General features: G+C 42.3%; 1 protein-coding gene across 3 annotated transcripts in view; it reads left to right on the plus strand.

Moving 5' to 3' along the window:
- The window catches only part of ACTN2 (actinin alpha 2), a 78,133-nt gene extending 67,755 nt beyond the window's left edge, over positions 1 to 10,378 (plus strand). For all 3 annotated transcript variants that reach the window (NR_184402.1, NM_001278343.2, NM_001103.4), the window contains 5 exons: positions 766 to 945; positions 3,233 to 3,379; positions 5,471 to 5,536; positions 6,762 to 6,920; positions 8,208 to 10,378. Coding sequence is in view for 2 of the 3 variants with exons in the window: in NM_001278343.2 (NP_001265272.1) it covers positions 766 to 945; positions 3,233 to 3,379; positions 5,471 to 5,536; positions 6,762 to 6,920; positions 8,208 to 8,366 (711 nt within the window). In the remaining variant the exon portion in view is untranslated. The remainder of the gene's footprint in view (positions 1 to 765; positions 946 to 3,232; positions 3,380 to 5,470; positions 5,537 to 6,761; positions 6,921 to 8,207) is intronic.

Consider the following 16,067-nt stretch of genomic DNA (forward strand, 5'->3'; position numbering starts at 1 on the left):
GTGCAAACCAGAGCACAATATGGAATGCAGGAAGGCGGCACTCAAGGAAGGGGAGGGGGGTCTTGCTGGGTTCTGTTTATTTTCTCACTAAAAATGGTGACAGGGCTTTCTCCGTTTTTGGCCTCTGCAGGGCCTGGATTTCAAACCATCTATCCCTACAAGGAGGACACGTGAAGGCCCACAAATACTTTGCATTTTCAGAACATTTCAGGGACAGTGGTCTTTAAGTAACCCTGTTGTCCTTTGATCACCAAGAACAGCCAGGAGACATTTATTGACCCACTTATTTCTTGTCCCACCACCCTTTTGGTGTTGAAATATTGACTTTTTTCTTAAAGCGGAGACCATGTAAAAATATAAGAAATTCTGATGGAGGAAGCATCCCGTGGGTCTTCAATCTGTCTGGCAGCTCCACCCAGGCAGCCCACCCCCAGCCTCCTCCAGAGCAGGGTAGCTCTGCCCGAGGGCGTTTCCTTCCCACAGCAAGAAGCTGAAGGACTTATCTCTGACCCCTCTTGCCTCTCTGTTTTGGATCTTGGTTGACTTTTTCCTCATTTTCTAGACAGACTAGAACTAGACCTTGTTTTGTTCTGCGATGCTACCCAGTCCCCACTTCCTCTGAGAAAAGTGAACCGAGTGACACTGGCCGCTGCCTGACGCTGGCCTAGCATCCCATGCAGGGTCTGGAACGGCGCCTCGTGCCGAGCTCCCTTAGAGGGCACTTCACTCTGCTTCTCTCTCTGCTTGCTCACTCGCCCCCCTCAGGAGATTGCCCGGAGCTCCATCCAGATCACAGGAGCCCTGGAAGACCAGATGAACCAGCTGAAGCAGTATGAGCACAACATCATCAACTATAAGAACAACATCGACAAGCTGGAGGGAGACCATCAGCTCATCCAGGAGGCCCTTGTCTTTGACAACAAGCACACGAACTACACGATGGAGGTACGGCAGCCAGACAGGCGTGTGCCGCTCACTTCTCACGGGGACCATGCCACCTCCTCAGGGTGCTTTCTTCATGCACTTGTCTTTCTTTGTTCCTGTTAAGACCTACAAGTATGAAAGTTAGGGATCTTTAAGCCTTTCCAGTCACTATTTGTGGAAATGCTTCGTGAGCTATATCGAGGACTATATGGTATTACCAACAGTGACATTATCATTATTATTATCACCACCATAAATTCACTACACTTCTTCAAGGTGAGTGCCAGAAACTGGACTGTTGCATTTCTGCCAGTTAGGCCCAAATTGATCTCCCTGGGAGCCAGCAGGTATAACTCAGGGCTCATCCTGCTACTTGGTAAATGGGAAAATATTTTTAGTGACAAACAAGAGTATATACTGCAGAGTGCCCGCTGCCACTGTTAGAATCCTGATAATATACTGCAGAGTGCCCACTGCCACCGTTAGAACCCTGGTAATAGAGTATATACTGCAGAGGGCCCGCTGCCACTGTTAGAACCCTGGTTATAGAGTATATACTGCAGAGTGCCCGCTGCCACTGTTAGAACCCTGGTAATAGAGTATATACTGCAGAGTGCCCGCTGCCACTGTTAGAACCCTGGTAATAGAGTATATACTGCAGAGTGCCCGCTGCCACTGTTAGAACCGTGGTTATAGAGTATATACTGCAGAGTGCCCGCTGCCACTGTTAGAACCCTGGTAATAGAGTATATACTGCAGAGGGCCCGCTGCCACCGTTAGAACCCTGGTAATAGAGTATATACTGCAGAGGGCCCGCTGCCACTGTTAGAACCCTGGTAATAGAGTATATACTGCAGAGGGCCCGCTGCCACCGTTAGAACCCTGGTAATAGAGTATATACTGCAGAGTGCCCGCTGCCACTGTTAGAACCCTGGTAATAGAGTATATACTGCAGAGTGCCCGCTGCCACTGTTAGAACCGTGGTTATAGAGTATATACTGCAGAGTGCCCGCTGCCACTGTTAGAACCCTGGTAATAGAGTATATACTGCAGAGTGCCCGCTGCCACTGTTAGAACCCTGGTAATAGAGTATATACTGCAGAGTGCCCGCTGCCACTGTTAGAACCCTGGTAATAGAGTATATACTGCAGAGTGCCCGCTGCCACTGTTAGAACCCTGGTTATAGAGTATATACTGCAGAGTGCCCGCTGCCACCGTTAGAACCCTGGTTATAGAGTATGTACTGCAGAGTGCCCGCTGCCACCATTAGAACCCTGGTAATAGAGTATATACTGCAGAGTGCCCGCTGCCACCGTTAGAACCCTGGTAATAGAGTATATACTGCAGAGTGCCCGCTGCCACCGTTAGAACCCTGGTAATAGAGTATATACTGCAGAGTGCCCGCTGCCACCGTTAGAACCCTGGTAATAGAGTATATACTGCAGAGTGCCCGCTGCCACCGTTAGAACCCTGGTTATAGAGTATATACTGCAGAGTGCCCGCTGCCACCGTTAGAACCCTGGTAATAGAGTATATACTGCAGAGGGCCCGCTGCCACTGTTAGAACCCTGGTAATAGAGTATATACTGCAGAGGGCCCGCTGCCACTGTTAGAACCCTGGTTATAGAGTATATACTGCAGAGTGCCCGCTGCCACCGTTAGAACCCTGGTTATAGAGTATATACTGCAGAGTGCCCGCTGCCACCGTTAGAACCCTGGTAATAGAGTATATACTGCAGAGTGCCCGCTGCCACTGTTAGAACCCTGGTAATAGAGTATATACTGCAGAGGGCCCGCTGCCACTGTTAGAACCCTGGTTATAGAGTATATACTACAGAGTGCCCGCTGCCACTGTTAGAACCCTGGTAATAGAGTATATACTGCAGAGTGCCTGCTGCCACTGTTAGAACCCTGGTAATAGAGTATATACTGCAGAGGGCCCGCTGCCACCGTTAGAACCCTGGTTATAGAGTATATACTACAGAGTGCCCGCTGCCACTGTTAGAACCCTGGTAATAGAGTATATACTGCAGAGTGCCCGCTGCCACCGTTAGAACCCTGGTTATAGAGTATATACTGCAGAGTGCCCGCTGCCACTGTTAGAACCCTGGTGGGTGCTTGTGAGTACTTCTCACTACAGAATCTTGCAACAGATGACAAAGTAGAATTTTTTTTCAAGTGTGGGGAAGGCTATCATGAGCCCTGCTTAGTAAGCCCTTTGAGTCGGCTGTACTGTTATGAAAGTAAAGAGGCAGAGTTGACATGCTGGAGAGACTTAGAACTGATCTTTCCCCTTTTCCCTCAATAGCACATTCGTGTTGGATGGGAGCTGCTGCTGACAACCATCGCCAGAACCATCAATGAGGTGGAGACTCAGATCCTGACGAGAGATGCGAAGGGCATCACCCAGGAGCAGATGAATGAGTTCAGAGCCTCCTTCAACCACTTTGACAGGGTACCACTCTCTACTTATTTGAAGGGCAATACTGGGGACATTAAACAATGTATCTGAAATAATATGCATGCTCTCGTTTTAAGTCTTAAGGCTCCACAACATTTACAGGGAAACAGGATAGTTAATGACAAAAGAAAATAGCCACCAAAACTAAGTGTCCTAAGCTTTGATGTTGCTCAAGGTGACACAAAGTCCAGGTTTGTGTGCTGTTTCATACAGATCACTTAATAGAATGCATTTGTAGTTGACATCAAAGCTGATTTGTTCTAAGTCAAAGTGTATTCTTCACAAAATGTGATTGTTGGCTTTAGGTCATTTCGTAAAGACTTAAATACAAAACTCTGATATGCTTTTCCTAAGCAACTGTTTAGGAAAAGCATCTGGTCATAATTTAACCCATTCTTTCAACATATAAAACTCAGTTTTCTGTTTTAATTAACAAAATTGATGCATGATCTCTTTTAAGGACATGCAGCAATAAAATGGTGATAATTTTTGTAGTAAAAGCATATAAAAAGCTAAGTGCTGCTTTAAAAATATCATCTAGTATTCTGATTTGAATAATATTGAGTAGAACCAATTCTTTATGAGAAAATACTATTTACTAATCCTGTGGCTGGAAGTGAGTGACTATTAAGGCACACTCCAATTCTTTTCTTTTTTTTTTTTAATGAGACGGAGTCTCGCTCTGTCACCAGGCTGGAGTGCAGTGGCATGATCTCGGCTCACTGCAACCTCCGCCTCCCGGGCTCAAGCAATTCTCCTGCCTCAGCCTCCCTAGTATCTGGGACTATAGGCACCTGCCACCATGCCTGGCTAATTTTTTTTTTTTTTTTTCAGTAGAGACGGGGTTTCGCCATGTTAGGCAGGATGGTCTCAATATCCTGATCTCATGATCCACCCACCTTGGCCTCCCAAAGTGCTAGGATTACAAGTGTGAGCCACCGCACCTGGCCTTTTTTCTTTTTGTTTTGTTTTGTTTTGTTTTGTTTTGTTCTGTTTTTGAGATGGAGTTGTGCTTTTGGTGCCCAGGCTGGAGTGCAATGGTGTGATCTCAGCTCCCTGCAACCTCCACCTCCCAGGTTCAAGCGATTATCCTGCCTCAGCCTCCCAAGTAGCTGGGATTACAGGCATATGCCACCATGCCTGGCTAATTTTTTGTATTTTTACTAGAAACAGGGTTTTACTATGTTGGCCAGGCTGGTCTTGAACTCCTGACCTCAGGTGATCCATCTGCCTCAGCCTCCCAAAGTGCTGAGCTTACAGGCGTGAGCCACCACGACTAGCTACGTTCCAATTCTTAAAGATCACTAAAAGGGATGTACCATTACTTTGCATGGAGCCCTGTTATGATTTGCAAATGTCCATCAGTCGTTCCTAAAATGCCTCTGGGCTAGATAGACCAGTCAGATTTGGGCCTTTTGGAGGATTCAGACAGTGGACTTCTGATCAGAGAGCTAGGCATAAGTAAAAAATTATCCACAGAGATGGATATTGACGTTCTTATAGCTTCAGCACACCTTTATTGTGCAGCAGCATGCTGTGATTTGACGTATCTGCATTCATTAAAGCCCAAGTCATTTTTCTTCCAAGGAGGGAAATGATGGATCGTCATCCCTGTACACAACCATCTCTTGTTGAAAGACACTCTCACTCATTGGGGCTACTTTATAGGAAGAAAGCACATTGATTTGAATCCAAGATGATCACAATCTTTTGCAACAAAAGTCCAAGGAGTACAATGCAGAACTTACCATGTTTAGAAGTTTGTTCAAATTAAACATGAATGATTCTTTGTCAGTAGGTGGCAGTAGTGAGCTCCTGACTAGTTCCTTTTGCTGTTTTCTTGAGTGTGTGGTCTCCTTTCGTTTTTGTCTGGTCTTTACCCTCCTCTCCCCTCTTTTTCATTTTTAAGAAACTAGTTTGTAACATCCTTGTGCTGGCTCCATCCTTCTCGCAAGTCAGTGGTGACATTTACGACCTTGGCAGAGCTCAAAGTGCTTCTCTTACCAGATCTTTGTTCAGTTGGTCAAGTAGAGTTGCTCATCTTGCCCTGTGCTCACCTGCTCTGTCCTTTGTTTTTGCCAACAGAGGAAGAATGGCCTGATGGATCATGAGGATTTCAGAGCCTGCCTGATTTCCATGGGTTATGACCTGGTAAGACAGAAGTTGAAATTGTACTAAGATTTGATATTTTATTGAATTTGGATTTCTGTTATAAAAGATGACAAGCTCAAACCAAGGTAGTGCATTTGGGATTGGTTCGTTTTCATTATATAGGATAATATTTTTTGAAGGTCTCACTGTTATTATATAAAAATAAAGTCACGAGGCCTGGCGCAGTGGCTCACGCCTGTAATCCCAGCACTTTGGGAGGCCGAGGCGGATGGATCACCTGAGGTCAGGGGTTTGAGACCAGCCTAACCAATATGGTGAAACCTCTTCTCTACTAAAAATCCAAAAATTAGCCAGCTGTGGTGGCGGGCACCTGTAGTCCCAGCTACTTGGGAGGTTGAGGCAGGAGAATGGCTTGAACCTGGGAGGCGGAGGTTGCAGTGAGCTGAGATTGCACCACTGCACTCCAGCCTAGATGACAAGAGTGAAACTCCATCAAAAAAAAAAAAAGTCACAGAACCAAAGCATTTATTTTTATTCAATAATTGGTCAGATTATTTTTTCTAGTGAAGGAGATGAGAACATAGGCTTTTTGATTGTTTTAAACAGCTTTACTGAGATATAACTCACGTACTACGGTTTACCCATTTAAAGTGTATACTTCAGTGGCTTTTAGTAGGAACCTAATGATTTTTCAAGTGCTTTTTCCTCTAATATGCTGAAAGGTAAAAAAGGTTTAGTCGTAAATCAGCCAAGATAAACTTACATTTCCCTGTGGGCTGGGATAGTCCTAGTATATCAGACACTTCTCTGTTACCCATTAATGAGTATTTTTAACCTGGCCTCCCTTGATTCTCTTTGGGACTGTAAACTACAGTCGTGACAGCCATGTTCTGAGCTGCCTTCAGTTTGGCAGCATCGCTTTCCTAGTTGTAATCTGAGGAAAGGGCTCAGCTCCCGCTTTGACCTCCTCTTCCATAATTACGTCACGTGACCCATCAAGGCCAGCAGTGGGTCCCAGAGAGGAAAGACTTCTGACATTTACAAGCTTCTGGTTTGAAGCTCCAGCAACTTTTAAAATTGTTTGGTAGCAGTAAACCTTAGTCACCCTTAAGGGGAATCTTGTCCAAAGACTGAAGGGAAACGCAGGTAATAATTCAGTTTTCAGACATAAAGGAATTGGCATGTCACCAGGGAAAGAATGAAAACGGCTCTGTTGAGAGTTGTGTACCGTTCGTGTACATGTTTCTTTGCCACTTTGCCCCAGGGTGAAGCCGAATTTGCCCGCATTATGACCCTGGTAGATCCCAACGGGCAAGGCACCGTCACCTTCCAATCCTTCATCGACTTCATGACTAGAGAGACGGCTGACACCGACACTGCCGAGCAGGTCATCGCCTCCTTCCGGATCCTGGCTTCTGATAAGGTCTGCATTGACAGATTTCCTTCTGCTTTAGCAGGAGTCCACTACATCCTTCTAACAAAAAAGGCAACAGTGTTGTAAATAAAAACCATTTTTATGCCGGTGTATTTTGTACAACATTGGCACTGATTTCAGAAGGCAGCAGATAGACACACAACAATGGCGCGCCCAGCACAGAGGAAACAGACATGCCATTCCTGGCATTCGTGCTTGGCCTTGCATTGAGTTTTTATAGAAGGGACAAGAGTGTATTTGTACTTGCGTGTGTGTGTGTGTGTGTGTGTGTGTATGTGCGCGCTACTGGTTCGACCCCTGTTTTACATTCTAGGTTGGTGGATGTGACTCAGAAAGAAGAAACTATGCAATTTAGATGTTATAAAACTGGTACCTTCTCCTAAGGATCAATGACCCTGACTTTGTGCCCAGCCATGGAGCAAAGTTAAATATAGCCGTTCAGTCAGTAAAAAATTGGCAAGCTTTTCATTACATGTAGCCTAGACCTTCAGGAGGAGTTTAATTGCCAGTTCAGAATTGTAATATTTTACCCCCCAAACAATAAAAACATCTCTATGTATAAATTCAATTTGGGACAGGATTATTTTACCCTGTTTTCTGGCTGAGAGGATAATGAACATTACCACAAGGAGGTTAGCATGCTAAAACACAGTAACAGAGCCATATTTATTACCTTAAAAATCAGATAAGACCAACTATTTTTAAAATAATGTTTTCTTTAAAATGAATCATTTACCCATGGGGTGAGGGTGGATGGGAAATAGCCCAGCTGATTTAGAAGGTAAGAAACCATGGCTCCTCCAACCCCACTAAGAAACTTCTACTATAAATTATATAATATGCAAACTATAATGATATAAATTATAATGTGATATTTGAGATTTACTTATTTTGACTTTTACCAACCAGACTATTTGGCTGGAATTGTCCTATTTCCCACTGAACTTTTTTTTTAAAAGCTTCATCTTTTCTGGTATGAAATGCAGATCATAGTACGTATCCTCGCATTGTGGCTCAGTTTGAGAACTACTAGTAATGCTCCATTTGCCTTTATGAAGCATATCACCCTTCCTGCTGGCCAGGCCGCTTCTAGATACGCTCCTACAAGTAAAACTTGGCTTTCTGTTGGTTGTCTGGTACTACTATGCCAATAGACTCCCTATTCTTTAGTCCTTTTAAAAAATTAAACAGATGCAAGAAATATGTAAGTATTAAGACTGTTTATGTTGTGGTGTTTCTGCAACTGACTGCAAACACGTGTGTATTTTTTCCCAGCCATACATCCTGGCGGAGGAGCTGCGTCGGGAGCTGCCCCCGGATCAGGCCCAGTACTGCATCAAGAGGATGCCCGCCTACTCGGGCCCAGGCAGTGTGCCTGGTGCACTGGATTACGCTGCGTTCTCTTCCGCACTCTACGGGGAGAGCGATCTGTGATGCTGAGCTTCTGTAATCACTCATCCCATCAGAATGCAATAAAAGCGGAAGTCACAGTTTGTTTCCTGGAAACTTTGACAAGCTTTATTAAGTTGAGAGAGAGAGAGGGGAAAAAAAAAAGCCTTTCGTAGTTCAGTAATTGCCAGCAATATAACACGGCTAAAATGAAGTTTTTACAGTATATGACATAGTGCGCTTCATAAATAGGTTTATTTCTGAGTTTTTAGCAAAATGTAATGAAATATCAGGTTGATTTCTTTGATTAAACAGAACAAATTACTTGAGTAATAGGAAATTAGGAGGATCTAGGGACAGAAGGAAAGTGAAAAATGTGAAAATACAAAATACCCAAGATTTAAGACCGGGGGGAAAAAACCACAAATTGGTAAATAAAGGTTTGCTATTTGTAAAAAATTTCATTTATCTCTAATATGCTTATGTGATTGCCCCTAGGGGAGTATATTTGGGATTCTAATGTTTTATTTTCATGCTTATCCAAAGATTACTATTGTATCTTCAAATGAATTTAATATTGTGAGATGGAACTGCCGGGGATTAAAAAGACTACCCAAAAGATTTTTGGCACTTACAATTTTTAAAATAGTTTATGTCATCTCTTCATTATTTAGGGCTGGATGGTCAACTCAGTCAGTGATTTTTTGATGCTTCTCTTATCCTCCAGAATAGAGACCTAAGGACACGTGGAAGTCAGTTTAATTGCCAGAGAGAAGGATGCAATCACTAGGTAAAATGAGGTTTTTAGGATTATTTATTGATTCCAGGTTCCCATGCTTTTTGTTAGAGCTTATTAGTACAGGTTCTCAAGAGATGACCACATAAAAGTGCTCTGTTTATAAATAAGCAGGTTTCTGTAGTACTGACTGGTTCATCACAAGGCAAGTCAGAAACCAGTATCCTTCTAGCTCTCCAGTCAGGACTTCCTTATGCCTCTAGTTTTATGACCGGTTAAGGAGAAGCCAGAGTTAGAGTAGGAGAGGACTAATTCTCAGCAGCAGTGGAGGTGAGTTCTTTCTTTTGCGGAAGCTTTACATATGTTTTGTGTAGTAGGAATAACTAGATATTTTAGCTAGTGTGCGGTGTGTGTTCACCCCTGGGATTGGACAGTGTATCCTAACAAGTCCCATGTCTGGTTCTGTGTCTAAAGGCCTGCTCCATGACACAGGATGCTACATGCACTCCTGCTAGCACATCTTGATCTGTTGAATGTTCATTCTTTCTTTTTGCTCATACTGCTGTAGGCTATAATTCCCCCCTGTTTTTCCATCTTGTTGACAGCTTGTAGAGAATAAAGCAGGAATTCTTTTTATATCTGAGTCCTTAATGATCAGGAAATGGATTACAAACAAACAAAAACAGTTGCAAACAGCAATTAAAGCATTACTAGAGAAGCAGTAACATGTCTGTTACCTACAGTCTGTTTGCTCAGATTTTTATAGATTTCCACCAACAGCTGGAAATGTAATATTTCCATTCCAAGCTGTCTGACAGCTTGACTCTTCTTCCTACACTGGGCCATTTAGAACCTTCAACCTTTATGAATTTCACTTAATTTGCTTCATTATTAAGTAATTGGTAGTTTCCAGATTCCTGAAATATTTGAATCCTTGAGTTTAATGCCAAACACTTTTGGGGTGGTTTAGATGAACTCTGACTCTATTTTATTTCAAGTAGGTGCTATATCCCGGCCATAAACCCCTATAGAAAAGCCAGAAAGTTGTGCTTCCTTTGAGGCTATTAGGGGGCTCTGTGGTGTTTTAGGATGGGTGTGGGTAACTCATCTACCTAAACTTTTAATTTCTTTACAACATTCAGCAAGAGAGGGGGTCAGTAGTCTCTATCTGCTAATAAATGAAGAAAGGAAGTAAACTCTGAAAAATAATAAACATGTTTATACTCTCATTTTAGGTATTATTTTTATTTCTGAAGCTGGATGCTCAAAAATTAAAACGTTTATAAGTTTCTAAATTAAACTTAATTTATAAAAGAAAAAAGAATCCCTATTTTTGTTATTTCAAAAAATAACCATTACTTTGGTTAACTACAAACAAACTTCCTCACTTAAAGGTTCCATGAGAATTAAAAACAGTCATTGGGTTAGTATTTGCCTCCCTTAAAGAATTAGAGACAGGCTTACTGGGTAGAGGGTGAACATAAGATGGAGAATTAACAATGAACCATTTAGAAGTGAATGATGGATGGCCCGGGGCATGGTGGCACACACCTGTAATCCCAGTACTTTGAGAGGCCAAGGTGGGCGGATCACTTGAGATCAGGAGTTCAAGACCAGCCTGGCCAACATGGCAAAAACCCATGTCTACTAAAAATACAAAAATTAGCCGGGTTTGGTTGCATGCCTGTAATCCCAGCTACTCAGCAGCTAAGGCAGGAGAATCACTTGAACCCAAGAGGTGGAGATTGCAGTGAGCCGAGATGGAGCCATTGCACTACCAGCCTGGGCAACAAGAGTGAAACTCCATCTCAAAAAAAAAAAAAAAAAAAAAAAAATCAGTGATGAATAGATTAGGAAGGAATTTTTAACCAAGAGATCACTTCAGAATCCTCAGTAAATATTTTCTAAAATGTATGCATACTCAGCCCTAATCCCAGAGTCTCAAGCTGTGAAGGTCTAGGTAAGACTTGGACATCTGCAGTTTTTTAAAACTCCATGGAATTTCTAATAACCCCCCATGAGAACCCGTGGATTAGAGGCAAAGGAAAGGTCATTAAGAATCAAGAGTCTAAAACGGCCAAGCGTGGTGGCTCACGCCTGTAATCCCAGCATGTTGGGAGGCCAAGGCAGGCAGATCATGAGGTCAAGAGATCGAGACCATCCTGGCCAACATGGTGAAACCCCGTCTCTACTGAAAATTCAAAAATTAGCCGGATTTGATGGTGTGCGTCTGTAGTCCCAGCTACTCGGGAGGCTGAGGCAGGAGAATCGTTTGAACCTGGGAGGTGGAGTTTGCAGTGAGCTGAGATAGTGCCATTGCACTCCAGCCTGGGCAACAGAGCAAGACTCCATCTCAAAAAAAAAAAAAAAGAAAAAAAGTCTAATAAAATGATTAGAGAAGACCTTACTGGCAAGGTTAATAGTTGAGCAATACAAATGGCCAGGCAAACCCTTGTGCCATCTGGTTGGTAATACAGAAATGCTTGACATAACTGAGTTTTAAATTAGAGCATTTGGCTTGGTATTCATTCCTGCTGTATACCAGATTCATCTATGTTCATGGAAATAAGCTGGAAATGAGCTCTTTACAGGCTTCATATGAAAGGAAACAAATCTAAGTGATACGGAGTCAGAAACATGTATTTTCAGAAGTTGCTAGTTGTTACCAGGCTGACAAAGATTCACCCACAGCTTCCCTGGATTATTTGACAAGAAGACACTGAGTTCCCACTGTGTCCTTGAGCTCTTTCGGGTTCCCTGGAGCCTACACAATAATTATACTGCTCTGAGACATTTTCATATTTCAGATGGAGTCAGCAGAGAAGACAGCGTCGTTTTTCCTTTTTAGATTCATTAATTAATAACTCAATCCTTAAGCAACTGACAGACCGTTATTCTTTTTAAGGTGCTAGGAGTTGCGATTTGTCAGTGACCCCTGGCCATGAATTCCCTCTGGGATTTAAGTCTTTTAGGAGTTACCTCCCCAGCAGTGCAGACCTCCTTGTTGTAAAATGGATGGAATGTCTGGGAGTACACCAAGGCATACTCGCAAATCCTTTTGCATGGCTGGGAACTTCCAAGAAACCACAGTGGCAGATATTAAAAAGCCAATATAAGATATAAGATATATAAGATATAAGAAAACCAATTGTCATGGTCTTGTTAAAAGAAAAACTTCAGACAAATTTAACAGAGTTGAGTTGAACAAAGAACAATTTGTGACTTGGGCAGCCCCTGAATCAGAACAGGTACAGAGCAGCTCTGGTGCTGCTGCATGAGAGGACTTGGGGACTGAGGGGGGAAAGTGAGGCGCAGAAACTGCTGGATTGGTTACAGCTTGGTGTTTGCCTTATGTAAACAATTTGAACAGTTGGCTGCCTTTCATTCACCAAAACTTGGTGATCGGTACAAAAGTAGGTTACAATCTGTTTACACATCCAGTGAGGTTACAGTTCACTGTGTATGGAAAAACCTTTAGGCTGAACTTAAAATATGTCAGGAGGCAGATTTAGGCTAACCTTTATTTAACAGTCTTTGCAAGACAAGCTACCAGAGGAGAAAGATTCTGTAAATAGTTGTAGACGGGAGAAAAAGGAGATTATATGCATACTTAGTATAAACAACGAAATGGTATTATGGTTCTGAAATCAGATATATGTATTATAAAGGATTGGGGTGGCTGTGATACCAGGTTTTGCTTACTTTACCTTTTCTATCCCTCAGTTATTGTCACAAGCATGAATTGCTCATGAGGGAGATTAGTAACAGAAAATCCCAGAGCATCAACAAGAGATATTAACCATCAAAATGGCTTTTTAAAAATGTATTTAAACATAGGCAGTTCTTTTTAGCTATTCAATTAGACGATCACCATTGGACAACCAAACAGCATAGGCTAGTGTGCTTCTGAGACCACAATAGTGTTCAGGTTTTTATAGATAAAACCTGCAGTGGCCAGGTACGGTGGCTTACACCTGTAATCCCAGCACTTTGGGAGGCTGAGTTGGGTGGATTGCTTGGGTTCAGGAGTTCGAGACCAGCCTGGGCAACATGGTGAAACTTCATCTGTACAAAAATGCAAAAAGATTAGCTGGGCATGGTAGCATATGCCCATACTCCCAGCTACTCGGGAGGTGGGGGTGGGAGGATTGCTTGAGCCCAGGGAGGTCAAGGTGGCAGTGAACCGTGACCATGCCACTGCACTCCAGCCTGCCTGGGTGACGGAGTGAAAGCTTGTCTCAAAAAACAAAAAACCTGCGGGAATTTTTTACATGATTTATTTTAGATTTGGCGTGTCTTATACAAGAAAGTTCTCAAAACATATTTATCAAAGCACATAAAATATTCCAATTACAATCTTGATTTTATTTCATCTCTTAAAGTGGTATCTTCTAATTCATATTAGCCAAAAATAAAACTTTTACTACATACCAGGCCAATTAATTTGTAGCAGTCTACACTCTTTCCTTAAATACACTGGAAAGACTTTTTATTAGTATGTCCAACAAAACTAATGGTATAATGGAATTATTTCTGAATTTGATACAAGATTTTTACACATACGCATGCATGTTTTCCAAAAGAATACCACTCTTTTTAGCATCCTCCTTTCTTCATGAATAACTTAAAATTGTAGCTACATATATTTCCTTTTTTTTTAAGTGGAGTCTCTCTCTGTTGCCCAGGTTGGAGTGCGGTGCAATCTCGTCTCAATGCAACCTCTGTCTCCTGGGTTCAAGCGATTCTCATGCCTCAGTCTCCCAAGGAGGTGGGATTACAGGCACGCACCACCCCACATGGCTAATTTTTCTATTCTCAGTAGAGATGGGGTTTCATCGTGTTGGCCAGGCTGGTCTTGAATTCCTGACCTCAAATGATCTGCCTGCCTCGGCCTCCCAAAGTGCTGGGATTAGCTACATATATTTCATAAATAAATGAGAAAGACAGACTTACATAGTGAAAAGTTTAATTATATTAGCACAACATCATTTTAATCTGGACTTAACTGCTTTTATAAAAGTTGTTGCATTATTTATTTTTCAGTGGTTTTAATACTATTCCTCAAAATGTGTTAGCAGCTTATTTTAATCATAAAATGAAGTCAGTTTTTTTTTTTTTTTTTTTTTTTTAACTGACAGGCTAATCTAGCTAATTGTTTAGACAGACTGGTAATTAGGCTACATGGGGGATGTCTTCCATTTTTTCAGTTTTCTAAATCTGCAGCTCCAAAGTTTTGATGAAAATATAATTAAGCCACATGATAATATAAAAGCATTTTATTATTTTTTAAAGTATCAGCAAAGATGTATTGAAATGAACAATTTCCCCCAACTCTTCCTGATTATATTGGATTAAACAAGGAGTACTTCAGAGAAAAACAGCAGGTGTAATTAGTGGTCACTTGGTAGGTCTGAGGAGATGGCACCACTACAGCTTAGAAGAAACACAGTTCCTATTGGACTGTGAGGAATAGCTGGCCCCTGCTGGCTCACCCCAACACTGCCATGTGGAAAGAGAAACCAACTTGTATGTTCTTTAAGCCACTCTACTCAGGGTCTCTGTTACAGTAGCTCAGCTGTACCCTAAGTAATACAGAATTAACCTCAACAGCTTCCTGACCTGGTTGTGTACTTAGCATAGCTTGTCTAGCTACACTGATGATATTTTAGATTTTATTAACATTTTCACATTTTTTTCCCTCTCAATGGATATTTATGTGCATTTTCATCATGGAAGATAATGACATTTTGTACTAAATTCAACTCATTCATTCACTCATTTTTACATGCACTGCAGAACGTTTAAACACAATTTTAAGACACTCTTTGTTTTCTCTTCACATGCTTTATTCCTCTCTTCTAGACAGTTTTCCTTCAGTACCCATCTGACTCCCATCAAAGCAAAGTGAGCAGTTTTGCTGTTGAAGAGTATCTATGTCTCTGGGGTCAAGATTCTTTCCCTTTCCCCACCTACACCCTTTTGTTCTCTTTAATATAGTTTATGAACATTTTTTGTTTAATGAAAGAGACAACACGTGGTATGGGTCTTAAAGACCAAGTATGCCAAATGTCTTATCCCCCACTTGCACCTTCCATTGCAATGCTTTCTTTCTTTCTTTCTTTCTTTTTTTTTTTTTTGAGGAGTCTTGCTCTGTCGCCCAGGCTGGAGTGCAGTGGTGTGATCTCAGCTCATTGCAACCTCCGTCTCCCAGGTTCAAGCGATTCTCCTGCCTCAGCCTCCCAAGTAGCTGGATTACAGGTGCCCACCACCACACCTGGCTAATTTTTGTATTTTTAGTAGATACGGGGTTTCACCATGTTGGCCAGGCTGGTCTCGAACTCCTGATCTCAGGCGATCCGCCTGCCTTGGCCTCCCAAAGTGCCGGGATTACAGGCGTGAGCCACTGTGCCCGTCCTGCAATGCTTTCTCATGAGATTTACAGATAACATCGACGGGGAGGGTCCTGGCCAGCACTGCCTCACATCTTGTCATTTTTCTTTTTTGATCCCCAGGAACCCAGTGTGTCTGAGATGCTGGTTATACTGGCATGTCATGACAAACGAACTTCAGCCTGGTACTCTTGCTTGCATGTTAGCCTAAGGAATTGTGATTGCAGAGCCCTGGTGAATCAAATTATCCTTATCCTCCATGGAAAATGCCCTTGGAGGCACCCTGCACTGTGGCTATGTGTGTGGACCTCAGGCTGGAAAAGTAAAAGTGTGTGAACAAAGGCTGAGACCTGTTTTCATAGCTTGGTGGAGATAGAAGAACATGTGTCAATTCCTTTCTACTAAAGGGAGCATTAGAGAGAATGCCACTTTAGAGTATGGAGTATGTTAGGGGTTTCAGGGCTGTTCTAATGAGGATTTTCTCATGTTTCATAAACAAATTTTCCTAGGCTTAACAATAGTACCTTTTTTTGTTTTCAATTACACACACACAAAAATGGCTTCACATTTCACAGCTTCATTGTTTTCTTGCCTGTTCTGTCATTCTCAGATAACGCCTAG

Source organism: Homo sapiens, chromosome 1 (genome assembly GCF_000001405.40).
Source record: "Homo sapiens chromosome 1, GRCh38.p14 Primary Assembly".
In the NCBI taxonomy this organism is placed as follows: Eukaryota; Metazoa; Chordata; class Mammalia; order Primates; family Hominidae; genus Homo; species Homo sapiens.